The sequence below is a fragment of the Homo sapiens genome, chromosome 4 (assembly GCF_000001405.40).
Source record: "Homo sapiens chromosome 4, GRCh38.p14 Primary Assembly".
NCBI lineage: Eukaryota > Metazoa > Chordata > Mammalia > Primates > Hominidae > Homo > Homo sapiens.
In genome coordinates this window covers 75,447,108-75,460,285 of record NC_000004.12, presented here as the reverse complement: position 1 = coordinate 75,460,285, position 13,178 = coordinate 75,447,108, and the positions used below count along the sequence as shown (strand labels likewise).

At 39.3% G+C, this 13,178-nt stretch overlaps 1 long non-coding RNA gene across 1 annotated transcript, besides 1 other annotated feature; it reads left to right on the top strand.

Moving 5' to 3' along the window:
- Window positions 1–4,419: 4,419 nt before the first annotated feature.
- LOC107986230 (uncharacterized) lies at window positions 4,420–11,790 on the top strand. Its single transcript, XR_001741514.2, has 3 exons — window positions 4,420–4,595; window positions 5,256–5,431; window positions 11,627–11,790. It is a non-coding gene; the product is annotated as an uncharacterized LOC107986230 (long non-coding RNA).
- Window positions 12,013–12,581: an enhancer, noted in NCBI's record as "H3K27ac-H3K4me1 hESC enhancer chr4:76372915-76373483 (GRCh37/hg19 assembly coordinates)". NCBI's record gives its function as "activates a minimal SCP1, AML or CMV promoter by ChIP-STARR-seq in naive H9 embryonic stem cells {active_cell/tissue: H9 hESC(naive)}" and the evidence as "EXISTENCE:reporter gene assay evidence [ECO:0000049][PMID:30033119]".

The following is a 13,178-nucleotide window of genomic DNA, read 5'->3' as shown; positions in this document are numbered from 1 at the left end:
TAGAGTATTGTGAAGGAGAGGGTCTGACTGGGGACAGTTGCTTTAGCTAGGGTGGTCCACTCAGGCATTTCTGAGGTGAGAACTGAAAATGGGAAGGAGAGAAGCATGCTGTCGTGGGGGATGGGGCAGGCTGGGGGGCGCAGAGCATGCCAAGCACAAAGAACAGCAGACACAGAGCACCCGAGATGGAACCAAGTGTGGCTTCTTTAGGGAGAAAGAAAGAGGCCAGAGTGGCTGGAGCATGGTGCTGGGTGTGAGTAGAACAAGGCGTGCTGGAGAGTTTAAAAGCTGGTCCATTCACGTAGATCTTGGAATGCCGTGTCAAGAAGTGTAGATGTTTATTCTGGTCATTGGGAAGCTCTGGACAGTTCTAAGAAAGACAGTTCATCTGATTTTACCTTTAAATATCATTTTGGTAGTTACCTGGTCTGTAAGAGACAAAACAGGTTTTCTTACACAGTCGACACAACCCTATTCCCCTCTGGTCACCAAAATCCTCCAGCAGACACCAGTTGGGTGTCTTCCAATTCAATTCTGATGCTACCTGGAGTTAGAATCACATCCCATAAGTCACATCCCGTAAGTCAGTCCCACAAGACTGCCCCCACACTATACATGCCAAGTGGCAAGTAGTAGATTGTTACTTATAATTCTGACTGGCTATAAATCGGAATTCTCATGACCCCCTTTTTGGGTTTGATTAATTTGCTAGGATGGCTCACAGAACACAGGAAACACATTTACTAGTTTATTATAAAGGATATTACAAGGCATACAGATGAATGATCAGCTGAAGAGATGCATAGGGTGAGGAATGGTGTGGAGCTTCCATGTCCTGTCTGGGCACGCTAACCTCTATGTACCTCCACATGTCCAGCAACCTGGAAGCTCTCTGAGCTCTCCTTTGGGGTTTTTATGGAGGCTTCCTTTTATCACACAGTTGGTTCCCTTGGCAACCAGCCCCATCCTGAAGCTATCCAGGAGCCCACCAAGAGTCACCTCATTAGTTCAAAAAATGCTGCTATTGTGCAGAAAATTCCAAGTGACTTAGGAACTCTATGTCTCTTATCACTCAGGAAGTTACAAAGGTCTTAGGAGTTCTGTGTCAGGAACTGTGGTCAAACACCAAATACTAGAACAAAAGATTCTCGCACCCCTATCTACCATGGCTTGAGGAGCTCTACATCAGGAACCCGGGGTGGAGACCAAAATATATATTTATTATTTCACACCTGGAGAATAGCCTATACTGAGGCAAGAAACAGAAGAACCAGGCTGGGTGCGGTGGCTCATGCCTGTAATCCCAGCACTTTGGGAGGCCGAGGTCGGTGGATCACTTGAGGTCAAGAGTTCGAGACCAGCTTGGCCAACATGGTGAAACCCCATCTCTACTTAAAATACAAAAATTAGCCAGGGATGATGGTGGGCACCTGTAATCCCAGTATTCAGGAGGCTGAGGTGGGATAATCACTTGAACCCAGGAGGTTGAGGATGCAATGAGCCGAGATAACGCCACTGCACTCCAGCCTGGGAGACAGAGAGAGACTCTAACTAAAATAAAACAAAACAAAACAACACAACAAAAAAATCAGGAGAACCAGTTAAGATGCTGTTGCAGTCCAGGGACAAGATTAGAGTGACTCTAACTGGGGTTGTAGCAGAGGGTCACATGTCTAGGAAGTGGTAGATAGAAACTCAGTGTGTCTTACCCATTCCCCTGACCGGTCTGGAGCAGCAACCTAATGCCACGCAGGAACACAGACAAATGATGAAGAAGAACAGTATTTACAACTGAGAGAGAAGCTGCTGAGTTTCCGAGGCTCTCATTTTATTTTACTCTATTTATTTATTAGTTCATAATCAGGCAGGGTTTTGTGTCTCACACTGCTGTTAAGCTCCTCATGAAATGGAAGAAACAAAACTAGGGTAACAGGAGGCTTTGCTAAGTGTGCTACTGTAAATTTTTTCTGAGATGTCAAGTGAAGCCATCAGGCTTTTTGAGAGAGTTATTTGATATGTGGACAGAGGAGAAAATTGCCAATATTCTTCTGTTTTTAACAAAAACTTATTCCCCCAAAATGTTGGCCAACCTTTCTTCACCCCACTTCTCTTTCTCCCTCTCTCCTTCCTTACTAGGCCCTATATGATCTGGCCCCATTACCTGGCTCCCTTCTCTCCCACTTATTATTTCTCCCAGCCACATCGACCTCTTCATGGCTTCTAGAACATGCCAGATAGTGTTGGCATTTGCTGTTCCTTTGGCACGCATGCTCTTCTTTCCAGTAGTTGTATGACTTGAACTCCTAGGTCCTCTGGTCTTAGTTTAATCCCCAATCCCTCTCTGAAAGGCCAACAGAGACATATTTGGCTTATTTGGTATGTTAAAATTATATGGGAAACATTGTCAAATAAGAAATGATATTTAGCTTCCTTGAGTTGTATTTGTAAGACTATGTTATTAATATGTATTCTGAAATTGTGAGAGTCCTAAAATCTTATATGTCTTGGTATATGCAGTAAATTGTTTTATTCTGATGCTTTTTTTCTAAAAGCTTTTTGCAAATTCTAAAGTGTTTGGTGTTCAAGGAAATTAATGGGAAGGACTCTGACAACTAATCAAGAATACAGGTTTTAAGGATAACTTCGGAGATCATACCATTGGACTAGGTAAAAATTTCTGGAATTCTAATAAAAAATTGATGTGTTCATGAAATTGCTAACTCAGCATCAAGCAAAACAAGAATTACATGGAACTGAACTGATGAAAGACTAAAAAATGATTTTTTAAAAATGACTTTTTGTTTGAAACATTGCTGATTCTTTTTATATACTGTTTTCCAGAGTCAAGAAAACTTTATGGCTGGGTGTGGTGGCTAACGCCTGTAATCCATGCACTTTGGGAGGCCGAGGTGGGTGGATTGCTTAAGCTCAGTAGTTGGAGACCAGCCTGGGCAACATGGCAAAAACCTGTCACTACAGAAAATACAAAAATCAGCTGGGCGGGGTGGCATGCGCCTATAATCCCAGCTACTCAGAAGGCTAAGGCAGGAGAATTGCTTGAGCCCAGGAGGTGGAGGTTGCAGTAAGCCAAGATTACACCATTGCTCTCCAGACTGGGCAACAGGAGTAAAACCTCGTCTCAACACAAAACAAAACAAACAAACAAAAAACAAACAATGACAACAAAAGAAAATTTTACCTACAGTAAAAAAAGAGAAGTTGCTTACAGCCATTGGGTAAATTATACTTTTATGAGCAAAATGGAAACATTTACCTTTCTCTGTACCGAATTTCTCCAAAATTTCTAAACTATTCAAGAATATTATTATTTTTACAACAATATATTTATTTGCATTACTTCAGTAAGAATGTACAAAAGCCAAAATTGACAAATGGGATCTAATTAAACTAAAGAGCTTCTGCATAGCAAAAGAAACTACGATCAGAGTGAACAGGCAATCTACAAAATGGGAGAAAATTTTCATAACCTACTCATCTGACAAAGGGCTAATATCCAGAATCTACAATGAACTCAAACAAATTTACAAGAAAAAAACAAACAACCCCATCAAAAAGTGGGCAAAGGATATGAACAGACACTTCTCAAAAGAAGACATTTATGCAGCCAAAAGACACATGAAAAAATGCTCATCATCACTGGCCATCAGAGAAATGCAAATCAAAACCACAGTGAGATACCATCTCACACCAGTTAGAATGGCAATCATTAAAAAGTCAGGAAACAACAGGTGCTGGAGAGGATGTGGAGAAATAGGAACACTTTGACACTGTTGGTGGGACTGTAAACTAGTTCAACCATTGTGGAAGTCAGTGAGGCGATTCCTCAGGGATCTAGAACTAGAAATACCATTTGACCCAGCCATCCCATTACTGGGTATATACCCAAAGGACTATAAATCATGCTGCTAAAAAGACACATGCACACGTATGTTTATTGCGGCACTATTCACAATAGCAAAAACTTGGAACCAATCCAAATGTCCATCAATGATAGACTGGATTAAGAAAATGTGGCACATATACACCATGGAATACTATGCAGCCATAAAAATGATGAGTTCATGTTCTTTGTAGGGACATGGATGAAATTAGAAATCATCATTCTCAGTAAACTATCGCAAGGATAAAAAACCAAACACCGCATGTTCTCACTCATAGATGGGAATTGAACAAGGAGAACACATGGACACAGGAAGGGGAACATCACACTCTGGGGACTGTTGTGGGGTAGGGGGAGAGGGGAGGGATAGCATTAGGAGATACACCTAATCCTAAATGACGAGTTAATGGGGGCAGCACACCAGCATGGCACATGTATACATATGTAACTAACCTGCACATTGTGCACATGTACCCTAAAACTTAAAGTATAATAATAATTAAAAAAAGAATGTTTTCTTTTATAATAGGACACACTGGAAACATTGGTAATTTTCAGATATGACCAAACAGTTTTGAGGAATTGAGGTTGACTTTACAGAGCCAATACGAACCCCCTTGGAAAACTGGCCCGGTACCTTGTCTATATGCTTCACTTACAAGATTCCTGACCTTACAAGATTCCTGACCTTGTGGTAAGTAAAGAGTGTTAACTTTCTGACAGGCCCAGGAACCTCAAGATATTTTGAGACCTTGAGAAGAAAGGAATTCATCCAATTTATACAGGCATTACAGGATGGCAAATCCTTGGCTTGGCTTCTAAACATCTAGAGGCTTTTAAAAGTTTAATCTCAAAATCCTTATGAAAAAGTTCCAGCAAAGGCAAATTTAAAGGAGCCTATATGGCCAATTGCTATTCTTGCACTTTATGCAAATTATCAGGTCAAGTATAATAAGTCTAAAATTTATTTTGCAAATAAATTGGTCTTACTATTTCTTTTTGGTAGAAAAGGGGGACTGAAGAGAGGAAAATTATGTTTCAGAACAAAACCATATCTAATAAGCACACCTGCTTATTAGATTTTAACCCTGACCATTGTTTTTAAGTTTTTATTATTTATCTACAATTTGGGTTAAATCTTGGATTATTTCCTGGCTACAATAAATCTCTAAAGAAGAACCCGGTTTTAATTTTCTTCATGATGTTTTTAGTTGGCTCCCTAATGGAATAAGGTTTTCTTTCTTTCTATTCTGACATAGAATTTCTCTCTTTGATTGTAATCCTTGTGTGCATTTTATTTCTGCTATTCACATTACTAATGTTATGTATCTCTCATTGTTTTTCTTCTTCCAAGGAAACCAGAACCATGGTATTCCAAAGACTAGAGATGATTCAACAAAGCATGTGAATCTCCTTCATTTGGAGTCCTGCTGAGCCTGCTCTGTTTTCCATTGCCAATGCACCACTATTAAAGCTATATAACATTAAGCACCCTCCCTCTTGGTGCAGGGACTATTGTGAAAGACGCAGGTATGTGAGATTGTAAGGGCCAATGTTAAGGGGTGAAGTGTAGGAAAACAGACTGTTGCATGGCAAGAGTGACACTATATTGAATCGAAACTGCCATGGTGTCTGATGTTTGACCCCTCTATATCAACATGTTCTGTAGCAAGAACTTTAAACAACAGATAACCCCTTGTAAGATGCTTATCTAACCACCTTAGCAGTCACAAGTTTTGCAAGAAAAGTTGGAGGCATAACCAGCTGCACATGCTGGTTCTGTAAAGGATATATAAGCTTGCTATATAAAGGATATTTTCTGGAGGGCAGGTGGGGGACTCCACCATTTGATGGTCACTTGAGTCCTCATTTCTGTTCATAACTCCCTATTAAAGATTTTTTTTCGGAGAAACTGTATTTGTCAACCTCTTTCTTTGGCCTTTCAACACCCTCAGTGTTTAGAGTTAGGTTTGCATAGACCTGCTCACCTCACTCAGGCTCTGACATCCTGATCCATGGGGATGGAGGAAACCTCCACCTCCTTACCCCACTTGGCTAAGTTGGGCCACTCCTCGGCATGGTTGCCCTTATGCTTCTCAGACTCCAACTCCATGCTCTGGGCCACCATGGCTCACCCTCTCCCCATTCCTATGGCGTGGATGCCTACTTCTGTTGGGGTCATTTAATACATTAAGGGCTGAATTATTTGAGAAGGGAAGAAAGGAAAAAGATTGGAGGAGAGAGAAAGAGAAAGAGAAATAGTTAATTTGTTTTTAATCTTCCTTCAATGTATTCAAAGACTTAAATTTCCCTCTAAGTACTATTTAGGTGAATCTTACAGGTTTTAATATATAGTATATATTATTATCATTCAGTTCTAAGTAGCTGAGAATTTTTCCCATGATATTTTGTTTAACCCATGTGTTATTCATTTATTTAAATAAGAAAAGACTTTCAATCAGGCTCTGCGTAAAATAGAAATCTAAAACTCATTTTACTTGTCTTTGCTAGGCATGTTAAGTGCCAATAATCTCTTTCTGGTTTAACAAAGTCAACAAGTAGGGGAGGGGGGAGGGATAGCTTTAGGAGATATATCTAATGCTAAATGACGAGTTAATGGGTGCAGCACACCAGCATGGCACATGTATACATATGTAACTAACCTGCACATTGTGCACATGTACCCTAAAACTTAAAGTATAATAATAATAAAATAAAAAAAAAGAAAAAAAAGATGCCAATTTAAATATTATTACCAGGGCAACACATAATAAGACAACCAATCAGCATTATAAACTTCTTAGAGATGAGACACTATTTCCCCAGGATATAACAACAGTCTCTGAAGTCTGAGTGTCTTACAAATCTTTGTTCGATTAACGTTAGGTTAGTTTTATGATGCAGAATATTCTTTGCTTCTGGCAGCTTCAGCCGGAAGTAGGAATCTTTGCTCCTTACCTTGCAAGGGCTTTATGCCAGAGTTAGAAGAGCATCTAGTTTTTCAGAGCTAAACATTAAAATTTATGAAAAGAAAGACGCAGCTCTGAGAAAGCCTGAAGTGCAGTTTGGAAAGGGTTACATAATTTGTGCACCTATGCTTAGTAGCATATTTTTTAGTTTCAGACATTAGGTATTTTGATTATTATCCGTGTATAATCAGTGTGATAATATAATAGTATTGAGAATTTCTAAATGCTTATTTGTGTTTTTGTATAGGTTTACTCGTTAGTCTATACTATAGGCAATTTTGGTGTGTATATTCTGAGTGTGGGATAACATTCTGTAGATTTCTTAGCTTGAGTTTATATGTTCATTAATTTGAGATTAAAATATTATATGTGTTTTTCCCTCCTCTACTTGGGCAATCAGTTTCTGAGAATGGTGCTATGGATCTGAATGTTTGTGTCCCCTTAAAATTTATATGTTGAGGCCAGGCGCAGCAATCCTGTAATCCCAGCACTTTGGGAGGCCTGTAATCCCAGCACTTTGGGAGGCCGAGGTGGGCGGATCACAAGGTTAGGAGATAGAGACCATCCTGGCTAACACAGTGAAACCCCGTGTCTACCAAGAAATTAAAAAAAAAAAAAAAAAAAAAGCCGGGCGTGGTGACGGACGCCTGTATTCACAGCTCCTTGGGAGGCTGAGTCAGGAGAATGGCGTGAACCTGGGAGGTGGAGCTTGCAGTGAGCTGAGATCGTGCCACTGCACTCCAGCCTGGGCGATAGAGCGAGACTATCTCAAAAAAATAAAAAAAATTATATGTTGAAACCTAATCCCCAGAGTGATAGTATTAAGAGGTGAGGCTTTTGGGACCTTATTAAGTCATGAGGGTAGAGCCCTCATGAGTGAGATTAGTGCCGTAATAAAAAAGGCCACAGAAACCTGCTGTGCCTCTTCCAGCATGTGAATATGAAGTGAGAAGGTGCAGTCTATGAGGAATGAATTTTCCCCAGACACCAAATCTGTTGAGTTACCATGACCTTGGACTTCCCAGCCTCCAGAACTGTGAGAAATAAATTATAAAAGCCACCCAGTTTATGGCATTTTTGTTACAGTGCCTGAATGGACTAAGATAAAATGTGAGTTAAAAACTCTCCAAGTAGATCTTCAGAGGTAGTTACATCAGAAAATGCATGTATTAAAACATCACCAAGTACCCCATGAATATGTACAATTATTATTTGTCAATCAAAAGTAAATACATTTAAAAAAATCTTCAAAAAACGAGAAGAATTCAGAGCAATGCTTCCCTCTGGAGGGGGAAGGAAATGAGAATTAGCAGAAAAAAAAAGACACAAAGAAACTTTCTGAGATAACAGAAAGAATTTATATCTTGAATATGGAGATTATGTGGATATATATTCATCTGTCAATGCCCACCTAACCGTAAGACTTAAAATATCTGTGAATTATTTTGCACAAAAATTATACCTCAATTAAAAAGTTCTCTAGAATTGAAAGTCATTATTTTAAAAAGAAATTACCATTAAACCAATAAATTAATTAACAATCACAAATCTGCATGTAGAATGACTAATTTTTTTTCTCCCCATGTTCTGTCAGTTATTGTTCCATATATATTTAAGCCTGCATGGTTCACTGCATATTGGTTCATGATCATTAAGTCTTCTTGGTCCATTATTTCTAATATTAGTATACCGTACCCCTATTTGTCGTTTGATGTTTCACATCTTATTTGTTCTTTTTTAATCTAATATTAAAATTGCTATACTTGATTTCTTCTGTTTAATATCTAGCTAGTTTACCTTTCTTAATTCCTTTCTTGCATAGCTTTTCTTTTAAATTTTAACTCACCATCTGACTCAAGAACTAAAACAATAACAATTACATCTACCTAAGTACTTATCTTCACCCTGTTCCCCTGCTTGCCTTTGGAAATAATAGCTGTCCTAAATTTTGTGTTTGCCTTGCTTTTAAAAATAGTTTATATATATATATATATATATATGTATGTATATACACATATACACACACGTGTGTATATATGTTTGTGTGTATATGTTTGTGTATATATGTATATGTGTATATATGTGTGCTAAAACAATACATTGTTTATTATTGACTGTCTTTAAACTTCAAAGAGTCATGTAGCCTTCGAAGACTTGATTTTATCATTCAGCATTTATTACTAAGATTTATCCATACTATAATAGCTGCATTTCATTCACTTTTTACTGCTATAAAACATTTAACCATTTGAATATCTTACCAAAAGGTGTTAAGTTTTTTGCTGTTACAAACAATGCTGCTATGAACATTCCAGTGCATGTCTCCCAGTGTTCATGGGCAAGAGTTTTTTTTTGCAGATACACTTAGGCATGGAATTGCTAAGTCATATGTTATGCAAATGTTCAACCTGAGTAAATTTTGTTTTTCCCTGTATTATCTATCTATCTATCTATCTATCTATCTATCTATCATCTATCATCTATCTCTCTATCTTCTATCTATTAACTGTCATCTATCTATCAATTATCTCTCTCTCTCTGTCTCTCTCTCTCTCTAATCTATTTGTTTTTGTTGCATACCAAAGTCTATATGCAATTGCGGTAGAATAAAAACAGTTTGGTTTTTGTCCACGGTTCCTGGCACACGGTTTCTAAAACCCTTAGAATCTTAGGAATAATAAGAGTATCTTTTGTATTTGAGTGAAATGACTGGTGGCTAGAGGCCTCTAGATAGCTTCAGGTTGAGGGTTGATTGCCAGAAAGCCCATGGCATGATTGGATCGTTGGAACTTTAAGCCCCACCCCCAAATTTCTCGGGGTGGGGGGAAGAAGGTGGAGATTGAACTAATCTTCAACAGCCCATGATTTAATCAACCATGTCTAAATAATAAAACTTCCATAAAAATCCCAAACAATGGGATTTGGAGAGCTTTGGGTTGGTGAACACATCAAGGTGCTAGGGGAGGATGCTCTCAAGAGGTCATGGAACCGTTCTACCCCTGCTTCCCCATACTTTATGAATCTCTTCTGCTTGGCTGCTTCTGCTTTGTATCCTTTATAATAAACCAGTAAACATGAGTAAACTGCTTTCCTGAGTTTTATGAGCTGTTCTACAAAGTATTAAACCTGTAGGGGAGGGAAATGTGAGACTCCGAATTTGAAATTAAGTTGAACAGAAATATGGGTAACCTGGAGACCCAATACTCATGACTGGCCTCTGAAGTGAGGGTAGTCTTGTGGACCGAACCACACTGCAAACAAAATTAAAATTGAAAATAAATTGCAGAAATTGAAAATAAAGTTATAATTACTGAGCTGTTTTTATTCACTTCTGACTCCAAATGTGTGGACTTTTTCCTCACATCAACCAAATTTCTGATCCTCTGTGGGTCTTGTAAACAACACATTGTTGGATTTTATTTTTTCTTCTTATCATCCAAACCAAGAGTACAATTTACATTTGTTATAACTATGATTATTTAGAACTCATTCTTGCCGTTTTATTTCATGTTTTCACAATTTTTTATTTTAGCCATTCTGAGGTGTATAGTGATAACTCGTTGTGGTTTTAATTTGTATTTTCCTGATGACTAATGATGTTGAACATCTTTGCATCTATTTATTTGCTTTCTGTATATATTCTTTGGTGAAATGTCCCTTCATGTCTTTTGCACATGTTTTAGTTGGATTTTTTAAATTGTTGAATTTTGAGTGTTCTTTATATATTATAGGAACTAGTCATTCATCAGCTATGTTGTTTGCAGATATTTTTTACCAGTCCGTAGCTTGCCTTTTCTTATTCTTAATTAGGTCTTCCCAAGAACAAAAGTTTTAAATTTTAATGAATTACAATTTACTAATTTTTTCCTTTTATGAATTATGCTTTTAGTTTCAAGTTGAAGAACTTGTTGTCTAGCCCTAGGTTTTCAAGGATTTTCTCTTTTTTTTTCCTAAAAGTTTTATAGTTTTAGTTTTGTCTTATGTTTAAGTCAGTAATTTATTTTTTTGTGTAAGATATAAGACTTACATGAGTGGTGGCCCATGCCTGTAATCTCAGCACTTTGAGAGGCCAAGGTGAGGTGATTGCTTGAATCCAGGAGTTCAAGATCAGCCTGGGCAACATGACAAAATCCCCTCTCAAAAAAAAAAAAAAAAAATTAGCTGGGAGTGATGGCATGCTCATGTAGTCTCAGGAGGCTGAGGTGGGAGAATCGCTTGAGCCCTGAAGGCAGCGGTTGCAGTGAGGTGAGATTGCACAACTGCACTCCAGTCTGGGTGACAGTCTGGGCATCCCCCATCCACCATAAAAAGATATAAGACTTACGTTGTGATTTACTTTTTGCCTATGAATGTCCAATTGCTCCAGCACCATTTGTTGAAAATGCTGCCTTTCCTCTATTACATTGCTTTTGCACCTTTGTAAAAAGTCAGTTAGACATTATCTACTGCGTTCTTTGTTCTGTTGCATTGGTCTATGTCTATCCCTCTGCCAATACTATACACTCTTGATCACTGTTGCTATATAATAGGTATCGATATTAGGTAGACTGATTCCTCATTTTCTTTTTCAAAATTGTTTTTAGTTATTCTACTTCCTTTGCTTCTCCATATAATATTATAATAATCTTGTCTATCTACAAAAGATTTTGCTGGGATTTTGATACAAATTATATTAAACTTGTATATTTATTTGGGGAGAATTTACTATGTTGAGTCTTCCAATCTAACAATATGGTATGTCTCCACATTTGTTCAGGTCTTCTTTATTGTACAGCTGCTCCTTAACTTACGATGGGGTTATATCCTGATAAACTCATCATAAATTGAAAATATAATATGTTGACATAGAGCTGCTATTACCTGAAGATGGCTGAATAGGAACAGCTCCGGTCTACAGCTCCCAGCGTGAGCGATGCAGAAGACGGGTGATTTCTGCATTTCCATCTGAGGTACCGGGTTCATCTCACTAGGGAGTGCCAGATAGTGGGCGCAGGTCAGTGGGTGCGTGCACCGTGCGCGAGCCAAAGCAGGGCGAGGCATTGCCTCACTTGGGAAGCGCAAGGGGTCAGGGAGTTCCCTTTCTGAGTCAAAGAAAGGGGTGATGGACGGCACCTGGAAAATTGGGTCACTCCCACCCGAATACTGCGCTTTTCCGATGGGCTTAAAAAACGGCGCACCACGAGATTATATCCCGCACCTGGCTCGGAGGGTCCTATGCCCACGGAGTCTCGCTGATTGCTAGCACAGCAGTCTGAGATCAAACTGCAAGGTGGCAGCGAGGCTGGGGGAGGGGCGCCCGCCATTGCCCAGGCTTGATTAGGTAAACAAAGCAGCTGGGAAGCTCCAACTGGGTGGAGCCCACCACAGCTCAAGGAGGCCTGCCTGCCACTGTAGGCTCCACCTCTGGGGGCAGGGCACAGACAAACAAAAAGACAGCAGTAACCTCTGCAGACTTAAATGTCCCTGTCTGACAGCTTCGAAGAGAGCAGTGGTTCTCCCAGCATGCAGCTGGAGATCTGAGAATGGGCAGACTGCCTCCTCAAGTGGGTCCCTGACCCCTGACCCCCGGGCAGCCTAACTGGGAGGCATCCCCCAGCAGGGGCACACTGACACCTCACACGGCAGGGTATTCCAACAGACCTGCAGCTGAGGGTCCTCTCTGTTAGAAGGAAAACTAACAAACAGAAAGGACATTCACACCAAAAACCCATCTGTACGTCACCATCATCAAAGACCAAAAGTAGATAAAAGCACAAAGATGGGGAAAAAACAGAACAGAAAAACTGGAAACTCTAAAAAGCAGAGTGCCTCTCCTCCTCCAAAGGAACGCAGTTCCTCACCAGCAACGGAACAAAGCTGGATGGAGAATGACTTTGACGAGCTGAGAGGAGAAGGCTTCAGACGATCAAATTACTCTGAGCTACGGGAGGACATTCAAACCAAAGGCAAAGAAGTTGAAAACTTCGAAAAAAATTTGGAAGAATGTATAACTAGAATAACCAATACAGAGAAGTGCTTAAAGGAGCTGATGGAGCTGAAAACCAAGGCTCGAGAATTACGTGAAGAATGCAGAAGCCTCAGGAGCTGATGAAATCAACTGGAAGAAAGGATATCAGCAATGGAAGATGAAATGAATGAAATGAAGCAAGAAGGGAAGTTTAGAGAAAAAAGAATAAAAAGAAATGAGCAAAGCCTCCAAGAAATATGGGACTATGTGAAAAGACCAAATCTACGTCTGATTGGTGTACCTGAAAGTGATGGGGAGAATGGAACCAAGTTGGAAAACACTCTGCAGGATATTATCCAGG